General features: G+C 47.6%; 1 protein-coding gene and 1 long non-coding RNA gene across 10 annotated transcripts in view, besides 3 other annotated features; one reads left to right on the forward strand and one right to left on the reverse strand.

Moving 5' to 3' along the window:
• Window positions 1-17,595, forward strand: part of COL27A1 (collagen type XXVII alpha 1 chain) — a 158,414-nt gene extending 140,819 nt beyond the window's left edge. For 7 of the 8 annotated variants that reach the window (XM_011519138.3, XM_047423992.1, NM_032888.4 and 4 more), the window contains 12 exons: window positions 5,154-5,207; window positions 5,709-5,771; window positions 6,156-6,209; window positions 6,368-6,403; window positions 6,529-6,546; window positions 6,766-6,801; window positions 7,166-7,192; window positions 9,692-9,757; window positions 11,604-11,772; window positions 12,753-12,862; window positions 14,344-14,562; window positions 15,633-17,595. In XM_011519138.3, the coding sequence (XP_011517440.1) occupies window positions 5,154-5,207; window positions 5,709-5,771; window positions 6,156-6,209; window positions 6,368-6,403; window positions 6,529-6,546; window positions 6,766-6,801; window positions 7,166-7,192; window positions 9,692-9,757; window positions 11,604-11,772; window positions 12,753-12,862; window positions 14,344-14,562; window positions 15,633-15,779 (999 nt within the window). In that variant the 3' untranslated portion in view covers window positions 15,780-17,595. Of the gene's footprint in view, window positions 1-5,153; window positions 5,208-5,708; window positions 5,772-6,155; window positions 6,210-6,367; window positions 6,404-6,528; window positions 6,547-6,765; window positions 6,802-7,165; window positions 7,193-9,691; window positions 9,758-11,603; window positions 11,773-12,752; window positions 12,863-14,343; window positions 14,563-15,632 lie in introns of those variants that run through there. The other variant, XR_929860.4, reaches the window with a different exon arrangement.
• LOC105376224 (uncharacterized) lies at window positions 8,546-24,395 on the reverse strand. 2 transcript variants are annotated; one of them, XR_930255.3, is made up of 3 exons: window positions 23,278-23,527; window positions 14,818-14,916; window positions 8,546-11,451 (listed from the first exon to the last, which is right to left on the reverse strand). It is a non-coding gene; the product is annotated as an uncharacterized LOC105376224 (long non-coding RNA). The 2 variants fall into 2 exon arrangements; XR_001746906.2 differs by lacking the exon at window positions 8,546-11,451 and adding an exon at window positions 24,187-24,395 and having other exon boundaries at window positions 14,558-14,916; window positions 23,278-23,414.
• Window positions 11,694-12,194: an enhancer, noted in NCBI's record as "H3K27ac hESC enhancer chr9:117068890-117069390 (GRCh37/hg19 assembly coordinates)". NCBI's record gives its function as "activates a minimal SCP1, AML or CMV promoter by ChIP-STARR-seq in primed H9 embryonic stem cells {active_cell/tissue: H9 hESC(primed)}" and the evidence as "EXISTENCE:reporter gene assay evidence [ECO:0000049][PMID:30033119]".
• Window positions 12,195-12,695: an enhancer, noted in NCBI's record as "H3K27ac hESC enhancer chr9:117069391-117069891 (GRCh37/hg19 assembly coordinates)". NCBI's record gives its function as "activates a minimal SCP1, AML or CMV promoter by ChIP-STARR-seq in primed H9 embryonic stem cells {active_cell/tissue: H9 hESC(primed)}" and the evidence as "EXISTENCE:reporter gene assay evidence [ECO:0000049][PMID:30033119]".
• Window positions 22,953-23,247: an enhancer, noted in NCBI's record as "tiled region #10745; HepG2 Activating DNase matched - State 7:EnhWF, and K562 Activating non-DNase unmatched - State 22:ReprW". NCBI's record gives its function as "activates a minimal TATA promoter and a strong SV40 promoter by Sharpr-MPRA in HepG2 and K562 cells {active_cell/tissue: HepG2 | K562}" and the evidence as "EXISTENCE:reporter gene assay evidence [ECO:0000049][PMID:27701403]".

Raw genomic sequence — 27,944 nt, forward strand, 5'->3', positions numbered from 1 at the left:
TAATGTCTATGTAGAAGATCCATTGGCATCCACAAGAAAGCTACTAGAATAAGTGAGTTTAACAAGGTCACAAGACACCATATCAATATGCACAAATGAATTGTGATTGTATATACTAGGCAATATGCATAAATGAATTGCATTTCTATACACTAATCAATGAGCACAAATGAATTGCATTTCTATACACTAATCAATGTGCACAAATGAATTGCATTTCTATACACTAGCAACAAACAATTAGAAATGGAAATCTAAAAAGCAATACTACTTATAATAGCATAAAAACATGAAATACTTAGAGATACATCTGACATTAAGTGTGCAACATATGTACACTGAGAACTATAGAACACTGGTAAGAGAAATTGAGGAAGACTTAAATAAATGGAGATATATACTGTGTGCATATTTCAAAAGACTCAATATTAAGATGTCAAATTTCTTCAAATTGGTGTATTGATTCAACACAATTCCAATGTAAAGCTTATCGGGTTTTCATGTAGAAAATGACAAGTTGGTCCTAATATACATATGAAATATAAAGGACTTAGAATAACTAAAACAACATTGAAAGAGAAGAGCAAAGTTGGCAGACTAATGGCACTTGATTTCAAGACTTATTACAAATCTGCAGTCATCACGAAACTGTGGTATTGCCGTAAATAACTAACAGATCAAAGGAACAGAATGAAAGGTCCAGACATATACCATACATATACGGACAACTGGTTTTTTTTTGTTTTTTTGTTTTTTTTGAGATGGAGTTTCACTCTTGTTGCCCAGGCTGGAGTGCAATGGTGCAATCTCAGCTCACCGCAACCTCCGCCTCCAGGATTCAAGTGATTCTCCTGCTTCAGCCTCCCCAGTAGCTGGGATGCACCACGATGCCCGGCTAATTTTGTATTTTTAGTAGAGATGGGGTTTCTCTATGTTGGTCAGGCTGGTCTTGAATTCCCAACCTCAGGTGATCCACCACCTCGGCCTCCCAAAGTGCTGGGATTACAGGCATCAGCCACCACACCCGGCCTGGACAACTGATTTTTAACAAAAGTGCAAAGACGATTCAGCAAATACAAAATAGTCTTTCCTAACAAATGGTGCCAGACAAGTGATGCCTCATAACATGTACAAAAATTAGCTCAACCTGGATCATACACCTAAATGTAAAACTGAAAATTAAAACACTTCTAGAACATAGAAGGACATCTTCAAGAACTTGGATAAGACAAAGATTTCTTAGATATGGTACCAAAAGCATGACCCAGAAAAGAAAATGTGATAAATCAGACTTCATCAACATTTAAAACTTTTGCTCTTCAAAGGACACTATTAAGAGAATGAAAAGACAAGCCACATACTGGAAGAAAATATTTCTAAATCATGTATCTGATTAAGGATTTGTATCCGGAACCTAAAAAGAACTCGCAAAACTCAATAATAAAAATAAGCAGCCCAATTTTTTTAAATGGGCAGAAGATTTGAATAGACACTTCAAAGAAAGTATACTGATAGCAAATAAGCACATGAGAAAAAGATTAATATCATTAGTCATTAGACAAATGCTCATTCAAACCACAATAAGATGCTATGGCATACCTATTAAAATAGTGAAGAGTTTTAAAAGACTAACCATACCAAGTGTTGGCAAAGACATGGGGAAACTGAAACTTTCAAATGCTGATAATGGGAATTTAAAGTGGTACAATCACTATGGAATCAGTTGGGCAGCTTCTTTGAAAGTTAAGCATATCCCTATTGTATAATCAAATCATTCCACTCATAGATATTTACCCTACATAAATAAGGACATTCAGCCACATGAAGACTATACTTGAAGGTGCTTAGCAGCTTTATTTATAATAGCCCCAAATTGAAAAAAACCTCAAATGTGTATCAGCCGGTGAATAGATAAAGTGTGGTATATTTTGCAATGAAATACAATTCATCAGTAAATGGATTGAACTATTAATATATGCAACAACATAAGATGATTCTCAAAATAATTAGGCTGAGTGAAAGAACTCAGATAAAAAATAGTATAGACTGTGTGATTTCATTTATATAAAATTATAGAAAATGCAAACTAATCTGCATTGAAAGAAGATAGATCAATGGCTCCTGGAGATGGGAGGGTAGGCAGGAAAGAAAGATTACAAAAGGGTGTGAGGAAAGTTTCTGGGGCTATGGGATGTTATTGTCTTGGTTGTTGTGACAATTACAAGGGTGAATACAGACAGATATGTCAAAACAAATCAGATTATACAATTTAAATAGTATAGTTATTATCTTCAGTTTTACTTTAGTAAGACTGTTTTTAAAATTACCCCTTCTTTGCACCTGATGGGTGTATAGGAGACAGCCATCAGAGTGCAAAAATGAACAGTTAGGACATCACGCAACTGGTTCTGTGAAGCCAGTATTATCCTGATACCCCAACCAGAAAAAGATGTCACAAGAAAGAAATCAACAGACAAATATGCCTTATGAATACAGATACAAAAATCTTTAATAAAATATTAGAAAACCAAATTCAGCAATATGCCTAAAGGAGTCTACACCATGACAAAGTGAGATTTATCCTAGAAATGCAAAGCTGGTTCAACTGTTGGAAATCAATCAATGTAATACACCATATTAATAAAATAAAGGACAAACATTATAGAGTCATCTCAATAGATGCAGAAAAAGCATTTGACGAAATCCAACACCCTTTCGTGATGAAAACACAACAAACTAGGAACAGAAGGGAACATCCTCAACCTGATAGAGAATATCTGTGAAAATCCCACAGGTATCATCATATTTAATGGTAGAGGACTGAACACTTCCCCCAAGATCAGGAGCAAGCCAAGGATGTCCACTGTTACCACTTCTATTCAATATTATACTGAACAAAATTAGTAGAACTAATAAACCAAAGTTGCAGGATATAAGATCAATATACAAAAAATGTCATTTCTATATATAACATACAAACATCAATTATATGTCTATACACTAGCAATGAACAATTCAAAAATGAAATTAATAAGACATTTCCATTTATAATAGCATCAAAGAGAATAAAATAGGAAGAAATCTAACAAAAGAAGTGCAAGAAGCTGGGCATGGTGGCATGTGCCTATAGTCCTAGCTACTCAGGAGGCTGAAATGGGAGAATCTCTTGAGCCCAGGAGTTCAAGTCCAGCCTGGGCAACATCTCAAGACCCCATCTTAAAAAAAAAAAAAAAAGTACAAGATATGTTCAGTGAAAATTTCAAAATGTTGATGAAATAAAAGAAAACCTAAATAAATGGAAAGACATCTCATATTCATAGGTCAGAAGACTTTGTGTGGTTAAGATGGCTATACTTACCACAAACAGAGCTACAGATTAAATATAATCCCTATCAAAATCCAAGCTGACTTTTTAACGAAATCTGACAAATTGATCCTAAAATTCATATGGAAATGCAAGTGGCCCAGAATAGCCAAAATTTTGATCTTTAAAGAAGATCAAAGTTGGACAACTCACACTTCCCAATTTCAAAACTTATTACAAAAGTATAGTAATCAAGACAGAAATAAAACCTTACATTTATGTCTGTTGTTTTTAGCAAGAGTGCTAGGGCAATTGAATGGGAAAAGAATTTTTTTTCAATAAACAGTGCTGAGACAATCACACAATCACATATCACGTACCAGAGAAGTAATTTGGACCTCTGCTTCACACCACATGCAAAAATTAGCTAAAAATGAAGTATAGACCAATGTAAAGGCTAAAACTGTACAACTGTTAGAAAACATAAAAACACATTTTTATAACCTTGTGTTAGGTAATAGTTTCTTAGATATGACACCAACAAAAGCGAAGTACATAGATTGGACTTCATCAAAATCAAACACTTTTGTGCTTCCAAAGGCACCATCAAGAAAGTGAAAAAACTCACAGTAGGGGAGAAAGTATTTACGAATCATATCTCTGATAAGGAACATGTATCTCTAATATATAAAGAACCCTTACAACTCAAGAATAAAAAGACAATCCAAATTTAAAACGGACAAAGTATTCAAGTAGACATTTTTTCCAAAGGAGATACACAAATATCCAATAAGCATTGATAAGACAAATGAAAACCACCAAGAGAACCACCAATAGCTCAATAAAGCTATTATCTTTTAAAAATGAACAGGTAGAATTTAGATTAAATGGGACCCTCCCGAAGCCTGACCCCTCAGCCTACCTCCATCAGCACTGGGTCTTGACCTGCCTGGTCTCATTGCATCCTTCCAGCCCCTTGGGAGGGAGATGACGTATTATCCTATTTTACAGATGAGGAAACTGAGGCTCAGTAAAGGGAGGTGACTTGCTCCTGGTCTTATAATATAAGGCTAGGAGATTCTAATACATGGCTTTCTGCTTATGAGCTTGAAGGCCAAGCCCCAAGAATGTGTAATAATGGCAGGCTCTTCTGCCTCCAGGGGCCCCCAGCCCTCCCTTCTTGGCTCAGACCCCAGCATGCCCCCTTGCCAATTGCTCTCCTAACCCTTTACAAGATTGGGAGCAGAGGTCAGGAAAGGAGGCCAAAGGTTCCTGGAATCGTTCACACTGGGTTTGAATCTAGCACAGTCCACAACATGGTGTCTGCGTGACTTTTAGCAAGTTCCTGCCCTCTCTGAGCCTGTTTCCTCATCTGTAAACAGGGGATATGGTGTGTCCCTGGGTTGATGTGGGAGCATGGAAGTGTGGCGGTCCAGGCAAAACATCCGGCACCTAACAGGCCCTCAGTGAACTGGGTTATTTTTAGTTTTTAGGGGAATCCTTCCTTAACAGAGCTTTTCAGAGCTGTGGGAGGAGGCTGCAGGCCCTTTTATTCTGTCCCTTGAAGACCTGGGACAGGAGCTCCTGAGTGTGGCAGAGCCTCCTCTGTGGAATCCCTGAGCCGGGCTCCTCTTTCTCATCTGACGGAGAGCACAGGCTCCCCTCAGAGCCCAGGCGGACTGGCATCTAGTTTGTGAGCTGTTCACACTCACTTGGTCGCTTCACAGAGGAGTCACTGATATCCCTGGAAAGGCTGGGAGGGAAAAGGCAGGCCCTGAGGTCCCAGGTGGCTGGCGGGACACGCTGACCATGAGCTCACTCGCTCCATCACTTCCTGTTCTTCCTGCAGGGCGACTCTGGCGAGATGGGCTTCCCAGGAATGGCAGGTCTCTTCGGACCCAAGGTATGGACTCCCACGGCTCACTGTTCCTGTGGGGTCCCATCCATTCACCCCATTCATTCATTTATTCATTCAACAAATATTTATGGAGCACTGAAAACATTGGCTGGAAAACAGCCAGAATCAGGCATGAACACCCTCATCCCCCAGTACTCCAGAAGATCTAGGTTCCAAGCCCAGCTACACAATTACCTGCTCTGTGCCTTGCAAAGTCACTTAGTCTCTCTAAGCCTTGGTTTCCTCATCTGTAAAATGGGAGCAATGACAGTAGAAGACTGTTGCAAAAATAAAGACCAGGGGCATATGCCACACAGCACTGAGCCAACACACTGCTGGTACCTGCTGAATAATTGTAGGTGTTTCTTACTCCTTCTGGGGCCTCTCAGGTAAGGCCTCTCTTGACAAGAAGGGCAAAGGTTGACAGACCCCAGGGGTGAGGGAGCTGTGGGGGCCCTTTACCCAGTGGCTGCCAAGTACAGACAGCCCTTTCTCTGCCTCCCACAGGGCCCGCCTGGAGACATTGGCTTCAAAGGCATCCAGGGCCCTCGGGGGCCACCTGGCTTGATGGTGAGTTCCCTCCCTGCTGTCGGAGCAGAGATGATTGTCCTAGGCCCAAGGTTGGCCAGCCATCAGCTGGCCTGTCTTCATCCTCCTCTTGCTCCTTGACTCATGAGCCCTTTCTGCCCACAGGCCTGGTTCCCACCTTCACTCCTGCCGTTCCCACCAGCTCAGCCCCCATCCTTCCCCGCTTTCACTCTTGCCCCCATCGCCCCACTCTTGAAGTCCACCCCTAGGCACAAATGAGGGGCTCAGGAGATGCATGGCCTGGGCCCGCTTCAGATGGTCTCCCTTCTACTCCCTTGCGACGCTCGGGCTGCCCTCCACCCCGCTCCCCGTGTCTGTTCCCCAGGCCCTGGAACAAGGACACATGAGCCTTTCTGTCTCCTTTAGGGAAAGGAAGGCATCGTCGGGCCCCTCGGAATCCTGGGACCTTCGGGACTCCCGGTATGTGTGGGGATTGGACAGGAAGACTCCGGGGTCCCCTTGCCTTCCTGGCTCCAGATTGTCTCTGTGACTCAGTGCCAGTCTGAGCCTCAGTTTCCTCATCTGGAAATGGGGCTTCACCTCTGGGCCCTGTCTCACTGGGCCGTGGTTTGTTGCAGGGTCCGAAGGGTGACAAAGGCAGCCGTGGGGACTGGGTAAGTGGATGGGCTGGGGCTGAGGGATGCAGCACTGCAGGGGCGGGGGAGGGGTGGGCTCCCAGAGTTGGGCCATGGCTCAGCCAGGTTCCCTAACTCTCTCCCCTGCTTCTGTCTCCCTCCAGGGATTGCAAGGTCCGAGGGTGAGTGGGCTGGGCATGAGGGCTGTGGGGCGGGGCGTGGGGCGGGCACCCTGCATTCTCCTCCCGGTGGTACATTCTCTCCCTCCGGACCTCCGTCATCCCGTCTGTGCCAGAGGAACCATTGTCCCTGGGTCCCAGGTCTGCTTGAGGAGGGACTGGGTTGGGGAGAGATGAAGACCCTGTGGACCAGGGCTCACTCTTCTTCTCTTGTTCCCCCAGGGTCCTCCCGGCCCCAGAGGGCGGCCCGGCCCCCCGGTAGGTAACTGAGTGCTGGGTGCATCTTGGACTCCTGGGGGGTTCCTTTGAAGGAGATTCAAGGCTTCACCGGCAGACTAAGCCTTGACCCTGAACCCCACAGGGGTTCTTGTAGCCCACAGACTCCTAGGAGAGTATAGGGCATCCCCCGAACATTCACTTTTGCCTACGTGGGGTAACACCTAGGGGCCAGGCCTCCAGAAAAGCATAGACCAGCCCACTGGGGCCCACCAAGCCTCCGGGAAAGCAGAGGCCAGCTTGGCAGGTCCTGCATGCTTTGATGGTCTCCCTGGTCTCCTGACACCCTCTCAGATTCCAGCACACTGTCCCTGTCATTTGACTGACCCGCAGTCTTCTTTTGCAGGGTCCTCCAGGGGGTCCTATCCAATTGGTAAGTTGGAAACCTTCTCTTTTGCCTACTTGGGGTAAGGCCTGAGGGGTTTGGGGGAAGAGGCTGCTGGCCCTCTCTGGCCCTGGTGGCTAGAGCCCTAAGCTGGGTCTAGGGACGCCCATGTCCTTTTGTCACTTCATACTGGAGACTTGGACCCGGAAGCAACAGAACGAGCCCTGGGCCAGGAGGCAGGAAACCTAAGTTTTTGAGTTGCCTCTGACTGAATCCGGGAAGATGCTCCAGCCACCGGGTTCATGGCCCTATCTGTGTACTCCATACACGTGGGCTGATTGCAAGGGTCTGTACATCTCAGATTCTGAATCCAAAGAGAGTTGGGGCCGGGCGCAGTGGCTCATGCCTGTAATCCCAGCACTTTGGGAGTTCGAGGCGAGCAGATCACCTGAGGTCAGGAGTTCGAGACCAACCTGACCAACATGGTGAAACCCTGTCTCTACTAAAAATACTTAAGTAGTTGGGTGTGGTGGGTGGCACCTGTAATCCCAGCTACAGGAGAGGTTGAACCCGGGAGGAGGAGGCTGCAGTGAGCCAAGATCGAGCCACTGCACTCCAGCCTGGGAAACAGACCAAGACTCTGTCTCAAAAAGAAACAAAAAAAACAAAAAAAAAAAAAAACAAAGAGAGTCGGGCCAGGGGGGCAGATTGGGGCCCCTGCATTCTTCCCTATTGGCCACTGTGGCCCTATCTGAGAGCATGACTCCTCCCAAGCCCTATGACGAGTCCATCCACATTGTACTATTGCACGGTGGCTACACGACTATTACCATCAGGCCCCAACAGCATCCCAGGGCACAGCCTCGAGGAAAGACTGAATGGGCCAGGAGCCCTTGAGCCATGCGTCATTCAGAACCTCTGCTCTCCTCATGCCTGCTCTCACTGCCACTCCCTCTGCACCATCCTCAAAGACAGAGTGACAGCCCTGGCCTCTCCTCTGCAGCCTTCCCTTGTCCTTCTCATCAGTAAGAAAGGCAGGGAAAGGAAAGTGAAAAGATCCAGGAAAAACAGAAAATTAGAGGATTTTGCATTTTTTTGAATAATCACTACTAATGCTAATTGAGTGCTTGCTCAATGCCAGACACCATTACAGGTGCTTTGCTTTTCTTTTTTTTTCTTTTCTTTTTTTTTTTTTTGAGACACAGTCTTGCTCTGTCTCCCAGGCTGGAGTGCAGTGGCACGATCTCATCTCACTGCAACCTCCTCCTCCCAGGTTCAAGCAATTCTCCTGCCTCAGCCTCCTGAATAGCTGGGATTATAGGCGCGAACCACCACGCACAGCTAATTTTTGTATTTTTAGTAGAGATGGGTTTTCACCATGTTGGCCAGGCTGGTTTTGAACTCCTGACCTCAAGCCATACACCCGCCTCGGCCTCCCAAAGTGCTGGGATTACAGGGGTGAGCCACCGTGGCCGGGCTACAGGTGCTTTTCATGTATTCACTCATGTGTTCCTTTCAGCAGTTCTTGTGAGGAAGTTTTATTATCAGGTCCATTTTCAAGATGAAAGAACTGAGAAAGAGTTAAGCAGCTTTCCCCAGATTATGCAGTTAGTAAGTGGCAGGTCTGGAATTTGACCCTGAGGAGTAGCCCCAGAGTCCCCCGTTCTGGACCCCAGGCCTCAGCTTTTGCTGTTTTCATGGCAAGACCACGGCTATGTCTCTGCCAAGCCCAGTGGTAGGGTTGGGAGTGCAAAGTTATATTAGACTATTAAAGTGCGAGCCAAAGGAGAAACACGGGGACTGGGGGCATAGAGAAAGGGGGCCTCCCTCATCTTAGCCTGGAGTCAGAAGCTTCGGGAGAGGCTTCCCATCACAACTGACATCTATAGGATGAGTCTAGGGCAGGTTTTCTGAGACACAGTGCAACTGACATTTGCATAATTCTTTGCTGTGAGTGACTGTCCTGGAGGATGTTTAGCAGAATTCCTGGCCTCTAACCACCAGATACAAGTAGTACCCCCTCCCCCGGCTTGAACAACTAAACTGTCTCCAGATATTGCCAAATATCCCCTGGGGGGCATTGTCGCCTCTCCTTGAGAACCACTGGTATAGGAGATAGCCAGATGGTGCATTGAAGGGAGGGAGAGGTCCTCCAGGCAATGAGAACAGCATGTGCAAAGGCCCCATGGCCAGATGGATCATGGCGTTTAGGAACTTAGAAGTACTATAGTGCGGCTGGTGCCAGAGCACATATGAGGGAGAGGAAGGAGACATGGCTCAAGACCACAGTGTTCAAACTGGGTCTTATAACCATGTTGAGGAGTCTGAACTTAATCCTGAGGGCCATGGGGAGCTATTAGTACCTGGGGAAAGGGAATGGCAGGGTCAGCTTTGACTGTCTGCAAAGAGAGGAAGGACCGAGAGTTCTGCAGAGGGCATATGACTTGGCCAAGATCCTGCCAGGGAATGTGGCCCTGGGGCTCCCACTTGATGGGTGTGGAGAACCCTGGGGGGCCACGATACATACCCTGTCTTTTCCTTGCCCAGCAACAAGATGATCTTGGGGCAGCTTTCCAGACGTGGATGGACACCAGTGGAGCACTCAGGCCAGAGGTATCTCCAGGGGCTCTCCCCATGTGGGATCCCTTCCTGGGAGAAACGCAAATAGATAATGGCCCACATGTGGTCAGTGCCTTCCATGTGGCCTGCATGGAGCATTTCAGAGTCCTGGTCTTGGTGGCATCTCGCATCCACAAATGGGGGTTTGTACTGAAACTCAGAATGGGCAGTGAGTCCAAGGTCCCATGGCCAGTGCAGGCAGAGCAAGGCCAGAAACAGGCCCTGAACCCTTGAGCTTTCTCCGGAGGCCTCTCAGAGTCTCCAAGCTCTTGCTGGCTGGAGTCAGGGGGAGAAGCTTGCCTGGGCCCAGAGCCCGCAGCAGCTTCCCAGTGCTCATCCCCACGTTTCTTCAGGAGTAAGAAGCTCATGGTTAGCTCGTGGGGCTCTGCTAAGAACCTGCCCTGTGGTTAACTCAGCTGTAAGACTCCAGGCTGAGAAGGGAGTCCCATGTCCTCTAGTCCAGCCTCGGTCAGGAGCCCCCTTTGCAGCCTTGCCTCCTTCACATGACAGGGAACTTACTGCCCCCAGCTCAAACCTCCTATGAACATTTCGGTTTGTTCCCTGTGCTGGATGCTGAGACAGATGGATGGCCAGTCACAGCCTTGACTTTCAGAGGGCTCACAGTCTAGGGTGGAGGACAGCATGGATGAGCCCCTTACCATCTGTCCGGGGAGGTCAGTGGAAAGAGAGGGGAACACTCAGGATCCAGTGCGGCTGGAGAAGGGAAGCGTTTCCTTCCATCCCTAGAAGCCAGTGATGCCGCACAGGAGAGCGCTGACCTGCAACATCCTTAACATGATGAAGGAAAGTGGCTCCGTTTATCAAGCACCTCCTACCCACTCTGCATTGGCGGTAGAATAGAGGCTTATTTCTCGTGCACGTAAAAGTTAATTGGCTTGTTGATGAGAGACCTTGGCTACCTGCCAGGGGCTCTGCCCTCTTCCTCTCCCACACGTGGCTCCCAAGGTCACTCCACACCAGGGGGAGGCACCACCGGGGAAAGAGAGTGTAGAGAATTGTGCAGGAGGGTCTCTGGGCCAGGCCTCTATGGGGCTAGCATCGCTCCACTTCCATCCCGTTGGCTAGAGCACAAATAAGGCTGAAGATGTAGTCTGTCCAGGCAGAAGAAATGGATTGGGTGAGCGGCTGCTGGTCTCTGACACACGTTCACACATGCGTGCACACACACACGTGACCTCCGCCACCCCCAGTGGAAGGAGGGTTTATTTAGCTCTGATTTGTAGCTCTGGAAGCTGAGGCTTAAGGGAGAATTCTGGCCAGGGTAACCCTGAATGGCCGGCTGTTTAGCATCTGTGGTCCCCTCCTGCCCCCTAGTGGAGATCTGCTCCTTCTCTGAGCTGAAGTCCTCCTCCCAGCACTTGTGCCTGCTGGCCCCAGTCCCGTCTCCTGGTGCCTCACAGAGACCCTGGCTCCCACCCTAGGGGAGCCCAGTGGGGGCTGTGTGACCCCCAAGTCAGCTCCCCCCAGCACCTCCCCTTCCTCCACAGGCTCTTTGCAGATAGAGATTGGGCCGCTGCCGAGTGTCCCACGCACCCTCGCCTACCTCATTCACGGGGCTCTGCCTGTCCCATATCAGAGAACATGGTCTGACCCTGAGCTCTTTTCAAGCCTCTGAGCCATTGTGATAGCCTCTCCTCCTGCACTTTGTCCCTGGCCCGTTTTCTTGTCTGCAAAATAAAGAGAAACCCAACCCGTGCTCTAGCCATGACCGTGGAACCGAGATACCTCCCAGGTTGTGAGAACTGGGGGCTGTGGAGGCTTGAACCCCAGGCTGGACCAGGACCCTAAGGTCCCAATGACCACCCTCTCCTCGTGACAGAGTTACAGCTATCCAGACCGGCTGGTGCTGGACCAGGGAGGAGAGATCTTTAAAACCTTACACTACCTCAGCAACCTCATCCAGAGCATTAAGACGCCCCTGGGCACCAAAGAGAACCCCGCCCGGGTCTGCAGGGACCTCATGGACTGTGAGCAGAAGATGGTGGATGGTGAGAAGGCTTCCTGCCGGGGGTGGGTGCGCCTGGCGGTGGGGAGCTGGGGCAGGTGGAGTATTTGATTTCCGCCGCATTTTGGCTGAGTTTTTGTCCTCAGCAAGACAGATACACTGGCAGTCATTTATTCACTCAGCAGTCACAGAGCCTCACAATATACCAAGATCCGCATGCTGGGGATGACCATTTCAGTGCAAAGAGACAAGAGCTCTGGCAGAAAAAGCTCCTGAGGCTGTAAGAGTCCCCACCCCTGGGGCCCATCCTGTCACAGGCTCCCGGGTGAGCCAGGATTTTCCCCCTTTCTGAGCATGAGGACTCTGCTCTCTCATCTGTGAGCTGATGTGGTGCTGTGAAGGACAAGCTGCGGAGCCAGACAGACCTGAGTTCCAATGTCAGTTCTGCCTCAGACTTGGTCTGTGAGCTGGGGCAAGCCACGGCCCCATCCCGAGCTGCCCTTGCCTCCTCTGCACAAGCGGCTGGGACTAGATGGCTGGTTGTTCCACTCTTGAGCTGCAAAGGTTTTGGCTTCCTGAGAAGCCCAGTGGGGAAGCTAGATGTAAGCAGCAGCGCTGGCTGATGGGGTGGGAGACCTGACTCCTACCCTCCCCCGGCAGGCCCTAGGAGGAGCCCTAGGCCTCGAAGAATCCATTCAACTAGGTGATCCCCCAAACCCTTGTGCAAGTGACCCAGCCTCTCTCAATGTCAGTTGTCTTCTCTGTAAAATGGATACATCCCAGTAGCAACATAGGCAAGTACTTAGCCATGTGACCCCTCCTCTGGGGGCTCTGCCAGTTGTGAGCTCTGCCCAGAAGGTTTCCTTCCATCTCGGTTGGAGGAATCCCTTTTCTGCTCACCCACCCTGACTTCATGCTCACCTGGGGCTCGGCAGGTCACAAGATGCAGGGTCCATCTACAGAACCAAGGAATGGGCTCATCCCCCAGATACATACATCACCTCCATCCCACGCTGCCTGCAGGTACCTACTGGGTGGATCCAAACCTTGGCTGCTCCTCTGACACCATCGAGGTCTCCTGCAACTTCACTCATGGTGGACAGACGTGTCTCAAGCCCATCACGGCCTCCAAGGTACCCATCAGCTCCCACACTGCCCACCAGGCTGTCTGCCTCTATCCCCAGCCTGCCCTGGGCCACAACCAACCCAGGTTCTGTTCTGAGCTGTGCCTGTCTTACTGCATGCCCTTGGGAAAGTTATCGCCTCCTTCCGAGACTCAGTTTCCTTATCTATAAATTGGGAGTGAGTAGGACTAATTTGTAACCACAAACCCTTTCGAGTCATATGATGCTGATGATTCTTTCTTCAAATAGAATCTTCTGCCTAATATCTAAAGCAGAGCAGTTGGCCAAGCTGGCCTGGCTTGTGGAACTATGAATCATCAGCATGAAATAAAAGAGAAAACTAGCATGATGCTCATCTGAAGCATGTTGTGTGAATTATGTATGCGAATACTTAACTCATGTTCAATGCCTGCGTACCACGTGCCTGTTTCTGGGTTGAGCATTTTAGGTGGTACAGGGCCACTCAACAACAAACCAAGGCAGGTGGCAGCATGAGACCTGACAGCTCCCTCGCCCAGGGATCCTCAGTGGATTGTGGGTCTGTAGTTCCACTAAGCCTTCCGAATTTGGGGGCAATTTATGCCACAGTGAGAAGCTGCTCCGACTGCGGGGGAAAGGAACCCTCCCATTTCATCAGCCACATCCCCTAGGAGATGCCTTGTGCTGACTGGGTCAGACTGGCAGTTTGAGAATCTCTAGGAGAGGCAGCCAGCCAGTAGCCAGGTCTTTGTTGGGTCCCTATCATGTGCCAGGCCCTGAGCCAGGACGGGGAGGTCAGACTCGAAACTCCCCTGCGGCCAGAGCTCACAGTCCAGCAGGGACTTGGTGACCTCCACAGGCTCTCTTCCCTGGTGACTCGAAGGTTTTGGGATCACGCAGCAAACCTGCCTAGCAGAGGGGTGAGGCTGGAGTTGGCGCCTGGGTTGGTGGCATGAATGCCCAACTGGGTCACCTTCTCCATCAGAAACAATGGCAGGGAGAGGCCCTGGCTCTGTGTGGGAAAGTGCTGAAGCCACAAATCCTGCCGTGTTGTTTGCTCTCAGGTCTGCCATTTCCGGCAGCACCCCATCGCACCTCACAGGGATCTTGGGACTTAGGAAGGGTCTCGAAAACACCTCTCATTTCCTCTGCATTCCATGAGCCTCTTAGTCTTGGGCAAAACCCTCTCCCTCGCTGAGCTCCTGGATCCTAGCTCAGCCCAAAGACCCCCCATACAGTAAGGGAGTGGATCAGATGGCACCAAGATCTTTGAAGCTCTGGCTCTGGAGTCAGGCAGGCCCTTCCCACTTACGCAGCCAAGAACCTGTAAGACCAGCTCACGCAGACCTCAGTTTCCCCGTCTATCAAGTGGGCACATGTCTGGGAGCATATCAGGAAATGCTTGCCAGGAAGGGGCCTATCCCTGTTCCCTCCATAGAGAGGCAGGGAACCCTCGGTGTGGGGGGTGTGGGGGGCAGCCTGAGCCGCTCACTGCCGTTGCTTCTCTATAGGTCGAGTTTGCCATCAGCCGGGTCCAGATGAATTTCCTGCACCTGCTAAGCTCCGAGGTGACCCAGCACATCACCATCCACTGCCTTAACATGACCGTGTGGCAGGAGGGCACTGGGCAGACCCCAGCCAAGCAGGCCGTACGCTTCCGGGCCTGGAATGGACAGATTTTTGAAGCTGGGGGTCAGTTCCGGCCCGAGGTGTCCATGGATGGCTGCAAGGTAACTCTCAGAGCCCCTCCTAGGCCCTTCATGTGGGGACAACTGGAAAAACACTTGTTTGGAAAAATGTGTTTCTATTATAAGATTATATCTAACATTTTAATAGTATACTATATTAATGTGATAGATATGATTTCATCTTTGTGTAATATAACAGTTTTCTAAAATCGTTTTTACTCACTTTCCTCTCTGGGAAGCTATGAGGGGAGGTCTGGGCTGGTAAAAATTCTTTGGGCTAGTAGATGTTGTACTTACTTGCAAGGCTCTTTCAAAGAAGATACATTTCTTCTTCCTGCTCCCACCCTAGTCAGGCTAATTTCTTCTCATTATATTTTTTGGTCATTTTCAAATGTCCTGAACAGGGTGGGTTGTCAGGGGAGGGGAAGACAGAAAGTTGAGAAAAGGCAAAAATCAGTTTTATAAGACTAAACAAAACTAATAATACTACACAGTGTTCATGAGGATGTGGGGAAACCAACAATCTCGCATGAAGCTGTTGGAAGAAAATAAATTGGTAGAGGCTTTCTGGATAGCAGCTCTAATATATATCCAAAACCTTAGAAATGTACTTATTTTCAGGGGAGCTAAGCTATGAAGACACAAAGGCATAAGAATGGTACAACGGAATTTGAGGACTTAGGGAAAAGGGTGGGAGAGGGGTGAGAGGTAAAAGACTACACATTGGGTACCGTGTACACTAAAGAACTTATTCATGTACCCAAACCCCACCTGTTCCCCAAAAACTTATTGAAAAAATAAATTAAAAAATATATATATATGTATATGAGATGTACTTGTTTTTTGGTCTAGCAATCTAGAACAATCCTTCTAGAATTTGTTCTAGGGAAATAAGAATGCACACAAAGGTTTAGTTACAGTGATGTTCATGACAGCATTCCTTACAAGAATAAAAAGAGTGGAAGCAATCTAAATGTGCCATATAGGTCATTGCTACAATGAAATACAGTATAGCCATTAAAAATTGTGAGGAAAGATGGAAGGGAAAATGCTCATGATGTATGATAAGAATCACGATGGATGTACGTGTGCACTTTTCCTTCTGCCTTCAGGTCCAAGATGGCCGCTGGCATCAGACACTCTTCACCTTCCGGACCCAAGACCCCCAACAGCTGCCCATCATCAGTGTGGACAACCTCCCTCCTGCCTCATCAGGGAAGCAGTACCGCCTGGAAGTTGGACCTGCGTGCTTCCTCTGACCTCTGACCTCGTGGCCACTCTAGGCCTCACGGAGGAGGGAAGAGGAAGAGGCAAGGGGAGGGTACTGAGGGGCAGATGGCTCCAGGAGAGGCAGCTCCCCTGCCCAAGGGTCCTTGGGCAGACCCCAGCTGTTGTCTGCCCAGTAGAAGTGGGTGGGGGTAGGAGGGGATAGGGTGTCCTTGGGAACAATGGATCCCAGCTTAGCCCCAAAGACCAACCAAAGAGCCAGCCAGAGTAAGCTGGACCTGCAACCTGCCTGAGCCCCGTGGCCTCTCAGCTCTGCGGCCACCCCGTTCCCTCCCCAGCTTCCTGCCCAAAGAGCCCCACATTCAAGCCAACTTGAGGGAAGGGGGCGTCTCGTCAGCTGGTCCCTGCTAGGGAGCTATTGATGTGCAATATTAGAAAGGAGACATGAAAAAAGGAGAAAAGGAAAGACAGAAGTGTATATATATATTATTTAAACAAACAAAAAGAAGGTGCGTTACTATTTTTTTTTCACCCGGGAAAGAGGTGAGAGGATGGGAAGGAGCAGCCAGGCGTGGGAAGCGGCGAGATCCTCGGGCTGGGGGTGCCCACGTTTGCTACCTCCCACTGTGAAATCGCTGGTGCTCACAATTGTCTCTCACAGTGTATGTGATTTTTTTAAGGAAAAAAAAAAATCCCTATTTAAGATTCTGAAGGTGCTACCATTATTTTGCCACAGACTTTGAAGAAACTTTTGGATGTGGGGCATCATCCGCATCTTTCTCTCTCCTCCAAATGACAAAGTTTGGGGAATTTTTGAATTTTCCTAGCATCGCCCTTGTGCTCATCAGGTAATCTGCTAAGGAGGAAAAAAGAAAAGAAAAAAGGAAAAAAAAAAAAAAAAAGCAAAACAAAAACAAAAACAAAAACCCTACCAGAAACCAGAAGTAGAGAGATTTACCATATAACTTATGGACTTTGAAATGTCTGTCCTTTTAAGGCAGCAGGGAGGCCTGGGTGCGAAGCATGTTGGCTTGGCCCTTCACGGTCCTGGAGGGAGGTGAGGCTGGCCTTGGAAGGCGTGCCCTGGAGAGGTCTTGGGTGAAAACTTGACCTTGAAGAAACCAATCACAAAAGCGGCGTTGGGTCAGGGCTAGGCTTAGAGGTGAAGCATCAACATGGAACCATCTCAGGAAGCCGCATCGCCTCTTCCGAGGTCCTCACTTCCAGGAGCCTGTCCTTGCAAGATGCAATCATCGTTCCTGCTTTTTCATTGTCATTAAATTCTGTAGAAACCCATTGTCATTAGCTCCAAGTGTAAATTTGGGTCAAGGAGACAGAATAATAATGGGAATCTCGGAGTTCGACACCATAGTGACGTTCAGCGTCCTCTGAATTGTGCTACATCAGCGAACAAGTCGGCGCTTGAATTGGATTTTGAGGTTATTTTAACCATGGAATTATTTTTATAGAAGGGGAAAATGTATGTGAAAGTCTCTATTTGTGTATTTCTCTCCTAAAGTTGTGTCTCTTTGGGAATTGGATTTGATTTTTATTATTTAATACCTCACTTTGGCCCGTCCCCCCTCCCAACACTTCTGTATCCTCGCCCTGCCGCCCCAGCCTGGACGCTCTGCGTGGAAGTGCGTGTTTGTAGCAGCTCGGGCCTCATCTCAGCGCTCGGATCCCTCCTGCTGCCAGAATCCACTGGCCTCTGTCTCATTCTTGGGTTTTCCTGCTGTCTTCGTTTACGTCTCTGTCCACATGTCAGTGTATTAAAACCCCAATGGGTTCCGTTTCTCCTTTTCCCCTCTGGATTTTAAATAAATATTTAAAACTGAGGCAATGGAATGACACGCCTGTGGTCCCGTGCTGCTTCTCAAAGCTCAGGGGGGCAGTTTCTGGCTGGGCTGGGATAGGGAGTGGGAGGAGATGCTCAGAGGATGTCCTCCTTACGCTGTAACAAATACCACAAACTTGGTGGCTGCAAACAACACAGAACCGTCTCTCTCGCAGTTCTGGAGGCCAGAAGTTCACACAGGCAGTGTTGGCAGGGCCACACTCCCTCCAAAGCCTCAAGGGGAGGATCTTTCCTTGCCTCTTCCCGCTCCTGGTAGCCCCAGTCATTCCTTGGCTTGCAGCTGCAGCACTTCGGTCTGTGTCCCTGTGGTGACACGTGTTCTGATGTGTCTCTCTGCTCCATCTTCTCTTTATGAGGACCCCAGTCATATTGGATTAGAGCCCACACTCATGACCCCACCTTAACTTACTTTCATCTGCAAAGGCCTTATCTCCAAATGAGGTCACATTCACTGGTGCAGGGGGTTAGGACATATCTTTTGGGGGGACACGATTCAACTCCTAACACACAGGGAGGAGGTACACTGAGGTTAACATGAGCAATTTGTTTTTATTATTATTGTGGTTAATTACACATAACATAAAATTTGCCACTGGTGATAGTACATTCAGAATGGTGTGCAACGTTACCATGATCTAATTTCGTATTATTTTCATCACCCCTAAAGGAAACCTGTACCCATTTTAGCAGTCCCACCCTCCCCCAACCCCTGGAAAATCACCAGCCTGCTTTCTGTGTCCACGGCTCTGCCTACTCCAGACATTTTATATTACATTGGTGCCAAAGTAATTGCGGTTTTTGTCATTACTTCTAAATGGCAAAAACCGCAATTACTTTGGCACCGACCTAATACAAGTGGAATCATACAGTATGTGGCCTTTTGTGACCCCGGCCTCTTTCACTCAGCGTGATGTTTTCAAGATTCATCTGTGTCGTAACGTGTATCAGTACTTCATTCTTTTTATGGTTGAATGTACTCCATTGCATGGATAAACCACATTTTGTTTACCTACTCATAAGCTGATGGATATTTGAGCCAAACTGGTGGACATTTGGGCTGTTTCTACCTTTGGCTATTGTGAATAATGCTTCAAAAGGAGTGATCCCTGCCTGTCACATTCTTGAGAGAAGTCACAATAGTACCTGCCACGGAAGAAGTGAGTGGGTGTGAGTCTGGGAGATGGCGTTGCCAGACTTAAAAAATAAAACTATAGGATGCCCAGATCAATTTGAATTTCAGATAAACAATAGCTATTTTTTAGTACAAGTATGCTCCATGCAATTTTGAGGAAATGCTTATGCTAGAAATCTTTTTATTTGTTATTTATCTGAAATTTATACGTATCTGAGTATCCTGGCCTGGAGCCCACATTTCCTGACCCTTGTTTCAGATCTCTTTCTTCCTCAGCTTATTCCTCCTTCCCTGGGACAATGAATAATCAGAACTTTTCTGCCATTCTCATTGAGGAGAAAGAGCACATCACTAACAGTTGAGTTTATACCCAGGATTTTATATTTTAAAAACTTGCAGCCGGGCGCGGTGGCTCACGCCTGTAATCCCAGCACTTTGGGAGGCCGAGGTGGGCGGATCACGAGGTCAGGAGATCGAGACCATCCTGGCTAACACAGTGAAACCCCGCCTCTACTAAAAATAGAAAAAAAATTAGCTGGGTGTGGTGGCGGGTGCCTGTAGTCCCAGCTACCCAGGAGGCTGAGGCAGGAGAATGGTGTGAACCTGGGAGGCGGAGCTTGCAGTGAGCTGAGATGGCGCCACTGCACTCCATATTAAGGGATTTATTATATGAAATTGGCTCATGCAATGATGGAAGCTGACAAATCTTAAGATTGGCTGCTGGCAGCTTTGAGACCCAGGAAAACCCAACGGTTCAGTTCAAGTCCAAAGGCAGGGAAAAAACCTGTCCCAGCTTGAAGGCAGTCAGGCAGAAGGAATTCGCTCGTACTCAGCCTGTTTGTTCTATTCAGGCCTTCAACTGATTGGATGAAGCCCAGCCACATTGGGGAGGGCCATCTGCTTTACTCAGTCTCCCATGGGATTACCCAAATGTTAATCCCATCCAAAAACACCTTCACAGACACACCCAGAATAGTGTTTGGCCAAATATCTGGGCACCCTGTGGCCCAGTCAAGGTGATACATAAAATTAACCATCACACTCCTCAAGCTGAGGTTGAAAGAGAAGGAATAGAAGTGAGCCAGATGGGGAAGGGCACTTGGGGTAGAGGGAACAGTGCCTGCCAAGGCCCAGAGGTAAAGGTAGCACTTTGCATTTGGGAACGGTAAGTGTTCCCATGTGGGGCTGCAGGAAAGGGTGAGGAAGCCTGCGGTATGGAGCTGGGAACATGACAAGTCACAGGTTTGCACAGATGAGCAGAGGTCTGAGTTGGCAAGTTGGGTTTGACTGCCATGGGGCCCTGGAGCAGAGCCATCCAGGAGGCAGCTGCCTGCGCTGCGAGGAAAGGAGAGAGGTCTGCACTGCACTCAGAGCTCTGGAGGCATCAGCAGTTTCTGCTAGGCCTGGAAGACATGGGTAGAGATTGAAAAAGCCAGCCAGAAGGGCCAGAGGGGGAAAGCAAGAAGAGCCATGTTAGAACTGTGACACTCACGACTCTCGGCCTGGTCTCCAATCCCAGGTGGGCCAGTGAGGATGCTGGAGCTGGGCCAGCTCATTCCCAGCAGGGGCAGATAGGAGGTTGTTGGGGACAGAAGGAAACTTTTCCTAAACTGGCAGTACCCACAGTTCCCAATCTCCTGTTGCACAACTGAGTGTCAGGAAACAGTCAGGTGGACTTCCCAGGCTGGGCCAACTCCAGGGGAAAGCCCAGGCCAGCCTGTTTGCCCTGTTCACAATGAATCAAACCCTAGCTATGGTCACAACCCATAATGGCCGGCAGCCCAGGATTGGAAAAATGAGGAAAAGAAGAGCGAGAAAAAGAGAGGCTGGCAGGCAGATTCCAGTTCCTGACTGGGACATGGCCCTGGGTAGGTCATTCTTTCTCTCTAGGCCTCAGTTTCTCTCTCTGCAAAATGGGGCCGATATGCTCTGCCTTTCTTGCCAGCCACAGAAAGGACTATTGTTCAATAATAGTAGAGTGAACGGTATGAAATAGAATAATATCCAATGCTTTTGGACCTGCAAAACCCAGTTTCATATGGTTCAACCCAAGAATAGCACCATTCAGAAGAATAATGGCTACAATTTCTTGTGCATGGACGGCACACCAGGTGGCATGCTCGGTGCGATCTCATGCGCATGTGCATGTGATCCCACATTTTCATCTCATACACAATCTCGTGGGACACATGTTGTAACCCTGGCTTTTCAGATGAGGAAACTGAAGTTCAAAGAGGTTTCTTAAGTTGCCCAAGATCACAAAACAGGATTTGAACTTGAGAAAATCTTTTTGGGTCTTTCCTCAGCCCAGTCACAGAGTTCCCCATGAGGACAATTTGCTCAGCCTATGTATTCTCATGTGGAAGCAGGTCACAGGTTGGTCTTACACAGACCTTGGCTCTGGCCTTGATGAAGAAGGGTGGAATGTGACTTTTTCAGGAAATGAAGTGTTTCAAACAGGTGCATTTCCCTGATGACTTCCAGCTCACCTGCTGTGTGACGTTTCCCACACTGCCTCGCCTCTCTGGGCCACTTTTTTCCTCATCTATATAATGGGGGGAATGTCTTATTTTCTTGAGCCTAGGATAGACACGTTTTCATGTTTTGATATCTTTAAAAGAGAGATGTAGCTTGCAATCACTGAAGTACATATGCAATGCAGAAATTTTTCTTCCCTCCTCACCCCAGCTTGTCTGGGGGATGGTTAAACTGACAGCGATAGTTATTATAATCAGAAGACCCTTAGGAGCAAATTTATTTTATTTAACAAGCATTTTATGGGTGTGGTAGCTCATGCCTGTAAACCCAGCACTTTGGGAGGCTGAAGTGGGAGGATCACTTGAGCCCGGGAGTTCGAGACCAGCCTGGGCAACATAGTGAGACCTCCCATCCCTACCAAAAAATTTTAAGAACTTTAAAAAACCAAGCATTACAACTATGTACCAATTTAATCTTCATAACAACCCAATGAAGTAGGTACCACTATTATTCTCATTTTACAGGTAGAGATACTGAGGCACAGAGAAGTTCACCAACTTGCGCTTCACCACCAGCCTGTACTGCCTGCCCTGAGGCCTTTTCTCTCTCTTTTGTTCCTGCCTAACTTCTTTTGACATCCTGCCAGGGCCAGATGGAGGATAGGGCCAGACGAGCTAGAAGGACTACTTAAAGCCTCAGTCTTTAGAGGCATTCATGCATACCTGAAATGTTAGGAGACAGAGAAAATTGTACTGTGGTAGGGTAGGTGCCAGATGAGCTTGGAGGAATTACTTGGATAGTCTAAGGTGGAGAGTGAGACCCCCAAGCGGCAGCCTGAGGGACAGTGAGGACACTGAAGACCACTTACTCCTGCCAAGGAGAGGCACTCGGAAGCGCCTCTGTACTGCATTCACAGTGCACAGCTCCGCTTTGAATGGTGGTAGCTCTCCTTATTCACCCTTCCCCTACACAGGCTGCGCCTGGGATCTCTACACTCGAGCAGACGGAGACCCCAGACCCCATTGGCCTAAGTGCCTGAACGTTATAAATCAAAAGTATTTTAAATGAAGCTGACATGTTTACATTTAAGTTTTAGAAATTTAATTAATTATCCCAGCACTTTGGGAGGCTGAGGCGGGTGGATCACAAGGTCAGGAGATCGAGACCATCCTGGCTAACCCGGTGAAACCCTGTCTCTACTAAAAAAATACAAAAAAATATTAGCCGGGCATGGTGGCGGGCGCCTGTATTCCCAGCTACTCAGGAGGCTGAGGCAGGAGAATGGCGTGAACCCAGGAGGTGGAGCTTGCAGTGAGCTGAGATTGTGCCACTGCACTCCAGCCTGGGCAACAGAGCGAGACTCTGTCTCGAAAAAAAAAAAAAAAGAAATTTAATTAATTAATTAAATCATGTCCAAAAGATTTGTACAACTGAAAATTATTCACGAGGCTAGCATGCAGCCTCTACATGCCCATGTCAAGAACCAGATTCAATTGTCCTGATGCAGTGACTCACAACTGTAATCCCAGCACTTTGGGAGGTCGAGGCAGGCAGATCATTTGAGGTCAGGAGTTTGAGACGAGCCTGGCCAACATGATGAAACCCCGTCTGTACTAAAAATACAAAAATTAGCCAGGTGTGGTGGCAGGCGCCTGTAATCCCAGTTATTCAGGAGGCTGAGGCCGGAGAATTTCTTGAACCTGGGAGATGGAGGTTGCAGTAAGCCAAGATTGTGCCACTGCACTCCAACCTGGGTGACAGAGCCAGACTCTGTCTCAAGAAAATAAAGAGAAAAAGAACTAGATTCAGGCTGTATGTGGGCACCATCTACAGACATCAGACACACACATTTAGGAGTAATAATGATGCAATATTGCCAAATGTTTCTCAGCAACCATGTGCAACTGTTGCATGTACTGTTTATTTCTAACTCAGGAGGATCTCTCTAACCACACATTGCAAGAAAATAGACTTTCAGTGTTTCTGGCAAAACAAAGAGTTTTTTTGTTGGCATTTATGCTGAAAGGGAAGAGTTAAAATGTTAATTTGTCTTTTTTCTTACCTCCAAGTTCACTCAAATCCTCTCTTGAAGCAGTGTCTGTCTCCTATGTCTGCGGTGGCATCATCCACGAAGTATCAGGACATTTGACCTGTTGTTTTCAGAGTCGAGTGCCACATGTAGAGATTGTTTCCTGGGGCCTAAACAGTGTTGGTTGTGAAAGAGAATAATCAGTGATGTGGGTCCCACTGTGCCAGTACCAGGCACCAGATCCCAAAGGACAGAGGTGCTTATCTGTTATTTAATAAACTGTTGTGTGTGGGTGGGTGTGTGGGTGGGTGTGATATGTGGGGCTCTCTAAATCCCTGGGCCCCAATAGTCCAGGTCTAATGGTGGTGCTGTCCCCAACAATGCTCAGCTTCTCCTCAAAATACATGGTATCTGGGCTGGGCACGGTGGCTTACACCTGAAATCCCAGCACTTTGGAAGGCCGAGGCGGGTGGATCACTTGAGGTCAGGAGTTCAAGATCAGCCTGGCCAACATGGCGAAACCCTGTCCGTACCAAAAATACAAAAGAAATTAGCCAGGTGTGGTAGTGACACCTGTAATCCCAGCTACTAGGGAGGCTGGATAGGAGAATTGCTGGAACTCGGGAGGCGGAGGCTGCAGTGAACTGAGATCGTGCCACTGCACTCCAGCCTGGGCGACAGAGTGAAACCTTGTCTCAGATAGATAGATAGATAGATGATAGATAGATAGATAGATAGATAGATAGATAGATAGATGATAGATAGATGATAGATAGATTAGATAGATAGATAGATAGATAGATAGATAGAGATAGATGATAGATGATAGGTAGGTAGATAGATGATAGATAGATAGATAGATAGATAGATAGGTAGATAGATGATAGATAGATAGATGTTAGATAGATGAATGGTATCTGGAGTCTGTCCCCATCATCTCACCCCTGGACCACTGCATCAGCTCCAGCTGGTTTCTCAGGTTTAATCTCCTTCCCTAGCCCTCCCCATTCTTCCCATTCAGACAGAGCGATCTTTCTGAAGAACCAATCTGGTTATGCCTTTCCAACCCCTTTGAAATCTTTCCATTTCTCTCCTACACCTCCTAAGTCTAGCGAACCCCTCAGCCTGGCTTCCATGCCCTGCAGGCTCCATCTCCTGCCAACCTCTTCAACATAAAGTCTGGCCACTCCCACTTATCATGTGCTCCAGCTGCACAGACTTTCCAGCTCCCTGATACACCCACTCTCTCACCTGCGCTCTTCCCTCTTGATAACTCCAATCATTGTTTCAAGCCTCAAATTAGAGCAATGCAAATTCAAGAAACAAACCAAGCTGGCAAAAACACAAAAAAGAAAGGAAAAAAAAAGGGTCATTTCTGTTCTGACAAGGATGGGGATAAGGAGACTCACTTGTACACTGCCAAACTGACATTCAAAATCCTTAGTGCTTTTGGATTTGTCATGTTTGGGAGGAGGGTTTTTAAATCATCGGCTTTCTTGAGGTTGAATAAATAAAAGAAAATGCACACATTTTAGGTTTACTGTTCAATTAGTTTTTACAACTATACGTGTGTGTGTATAATGGCCACCACGATGACAACCTGGATCGTTGTCATCCACTTCAGTGTTCTCTCATATGCTTTTGCAGTCAAATTGCCCTCTTTTGCCCTTGGCAACCACTGATCTGATTTCTAAAATTATAGATTTGTTTGAGCTGTTCTAGAACAGAACCGTACAGTATATAAGCTCCTTTGTATCTGGCTTCTTTTGTTCAGCATAGTGTTTTTGAGATTCATCCATGGTGTTATATGTATCAATAGTTTAACTATTTTTATTGTTAAGTAATATTCCTTTGTAAGAAAATGCCACATTTTTATTTACCATTTTCCTGTTGATGGGCATTTGGATTGTTTCTTTCTTTTTTTTTGGTTTTTGTTTTTGCTTTTGTTTTTGTTTTTTAGACAGTCTTGCTCTGTCACCAGGCTGGAGTGCAGTGGCACGATCTCGGCTAACTGCAAGCTCCACCTCCCAGGTTTGAGCGATTCTCCTGCCTCAGCCTCCTGAGTAGCTGGTACTACAGGCGCATGCCACCACACTCAGCTAATTTTTGTATTTTTAGTAGAGACGGAGTTTCTCCATGTTGGCCAGGCTTGTCTCGATCTCTTGACCTTGTGATCCGCCCACCTCGGCCTCCCAAAGTGCTGGGATTACAGGCGTGAGCCGTGGTGCCCCACCCTTGGATTATTTCTAATTTTGGCTATTTTGAGCAATGCTGTTATGAACATTAATATGTAAGACTTTGTGCATAGCACGTGGTTTCCTTTCCCTTGGATACTAAGGTAATTTTAAAAGGGAAATTGGCTGCTCTCTGACACTTATCATCAGAGGAAAAATCACAATATGAAATGCTGTTAGATAGGCTGGGAGTGGTGGCTCACGCCTATAATCCAGCACTTTGGGAGGCTGAGGCAGGAGGATCACTTGAGGCCAGAAGTTCAAGACCAGTCTGGGCAACATAGTGAGACTCTGTCTCTACAATTTTTTGTTTTTTAAATTTAATTAGCCAAGTGTGGTGGTGCATGCCTGTAGTCCTAGCTACTCCAGAGGCTGAGGTGGGAGGATTGCTTGAGCCCAGGAGTTTGAGGCTGCAGTTGAGCTATGATTCATACCACTGCACTCCAACTTGAAGAGCCTGAAAAAAAAAAAAAAGTGCTGTAGACATAAAGGACATGACTAAGTAGGTTAGAATATAGTAAGCGGGCCAGGCGCCGTGGCTCATGCCTGTAATCCCAGTACTCTGGGAGGCCGAGGTGGGCAGATTGCTTAAGCTCAGGAGTTCGAGACCAACCTGGGCAACATGATGAGACCCCCATCTCTACAAAAGTACAAAAAGTTAGCCAGGTGTGGTGGCACGCACCTGTGGTCCTAGCTACTCGGGAGGCTGAGCTGGGAGGATCTCTTGAGCCTGGGTGGCAGAGGTTGCAGTGAGCCAAGATCCCACCACTACACTCCAGCCTGGGCGACAGAGTGAGATGCCATTTCAGAACAAAAACAAAAACAAAAAAAGAATAGAGTAAGTGAATGAAAAGTTGTGCATCCATTACACTTTTATTTATTTATTTATTTATTTATTTTTGAGACAGGGTCTCTTGCTCCATCATACAGGCTGGAGTGTAGTGGCAAAATCACAGCTTACTGCAGCTTTGAACTCCTGGGCTCAAGCAATCTTCCAGCCTCAGAGTCCAGAGTAGCTAGGCTTTCAGGTACATGGCACCAGACCTGGCTAATTTTTTTGTTTGTTTGTTTGTTTTCCTTGAGACGGAGTCTCACTCTGTCACCCAGGCTGGAGTGCAGTGGCGCCATCTCAGCTCACTGCAAGCTCTGCCTCCCAGGTTCACGCCATTCTCCCATCTCAGCCTCCCAAGTAGCTGGGACTACAGGCGCCTGCCACCACGCCCAGCTAATTTTGTTTTTGTATTTTTAGTAGAGATGGGGTTTCACCATGTTAGCCAGGATGGTCTCCATCTCTTGACCTCATGATCCGCCCGCCTCAGCCTCCCAAAGTGCTGGGATTACAGGCGTGAGCCACCGCGCCTGGCCGACCTGGCTAATTTTTAAATATTTTTGTGTAAAGATAGGGTCTCACTATGTTGCCCAGGCTAGTCTTGAACTCCAGGACTCAGGTGACTCTCCCATCTTGGGTCCATTAAGCTTTTAACTACAAACTACACTGAAATATGAAAGTTATTCAGAATGAAATGAATAAGAATGCAAAATTATAATCATACCGTAAGAATACTTTCTGAGTAATCCCAGCACTTTGGGAGGCCGAGACGGGTGAGTCACCTGAGGTCGGGAGTTCCAGACCAGCCTGGCCAACATGGAGAAACCCCATCTCTACTGAAAATAACAACAACAAAAAAAATTAGCTGGGCGTTGTGGAGGGCACCAGTAATCCCAGCGACTCAGGAGGCTGAGGCAGGAGAATCGCTTGAACCCAGGAGGCACAGGTTGCAGTGAGCCGAGATTGAGCCATTGCACTCCAGCCTGGGGGACGGGAGTGAAACTCCGTATCAAAAAAAAAAAAAAATGAATACTTTCTGAAAGTATTTATTCATACAAATAAAGACTTGACCCGTGAGGTAGGAACACAAATGGGCCACGGAATCACTCATTCCACAGAATATACCGAGTGCCCTTGAAGTGCTGGGCACTGCTCCAGGATTGGGGGCGTATTGGTGAAAGAGAAGCAAGCTGCCTGCTCAGATGGCAGGGAATGGGGGAAAACAGGGAGACAGTTTCCTGTTTGAGATGTTGGGAGATGCTTCGAGTAGTATATTTACTGGAAATAGACATTCAACTTGGATGTCCCTTTTTGGAAATGTGCCTGCGTCCAGGGCTGGGTTGGGGCCCCAATGAACTTTGGCTCTGACACAGCTGTTGCCACACTCAGTGGAACTGAATCTATGTTTGTCTTCCCCGGCATCCTTCACCCCAACTCTCCCCGCCACAACATACATCCCATGCCAGCCTGGGGACCCTCAAAGGTGGCTTCATCATTAGGTTTGTGGCTGGGTCCCACTGAAGTAAGTCTTGGCACTCAGAGGGATAGGAATTGAATGAAGACATGAGATTCCTCTGCGGGAGGCCTCTCTAGGAAATCTGTGGACTCACACGTTTACTAATGTTGCTGCAGCCCCG

The sequence above is a fragment of the Homo sapiens genome, chromosome 9 (assembly GCF_000001405.40).
Source record: "Homo sapiens chromosome 9, GRCh38.p14 Primary Assembly".
Classification (NCBI taxonomy): Eukaryota; Metazoa; Chordata; class Mammalia; order Primates; family Hominidae; genus Homo; species Homo sapiens.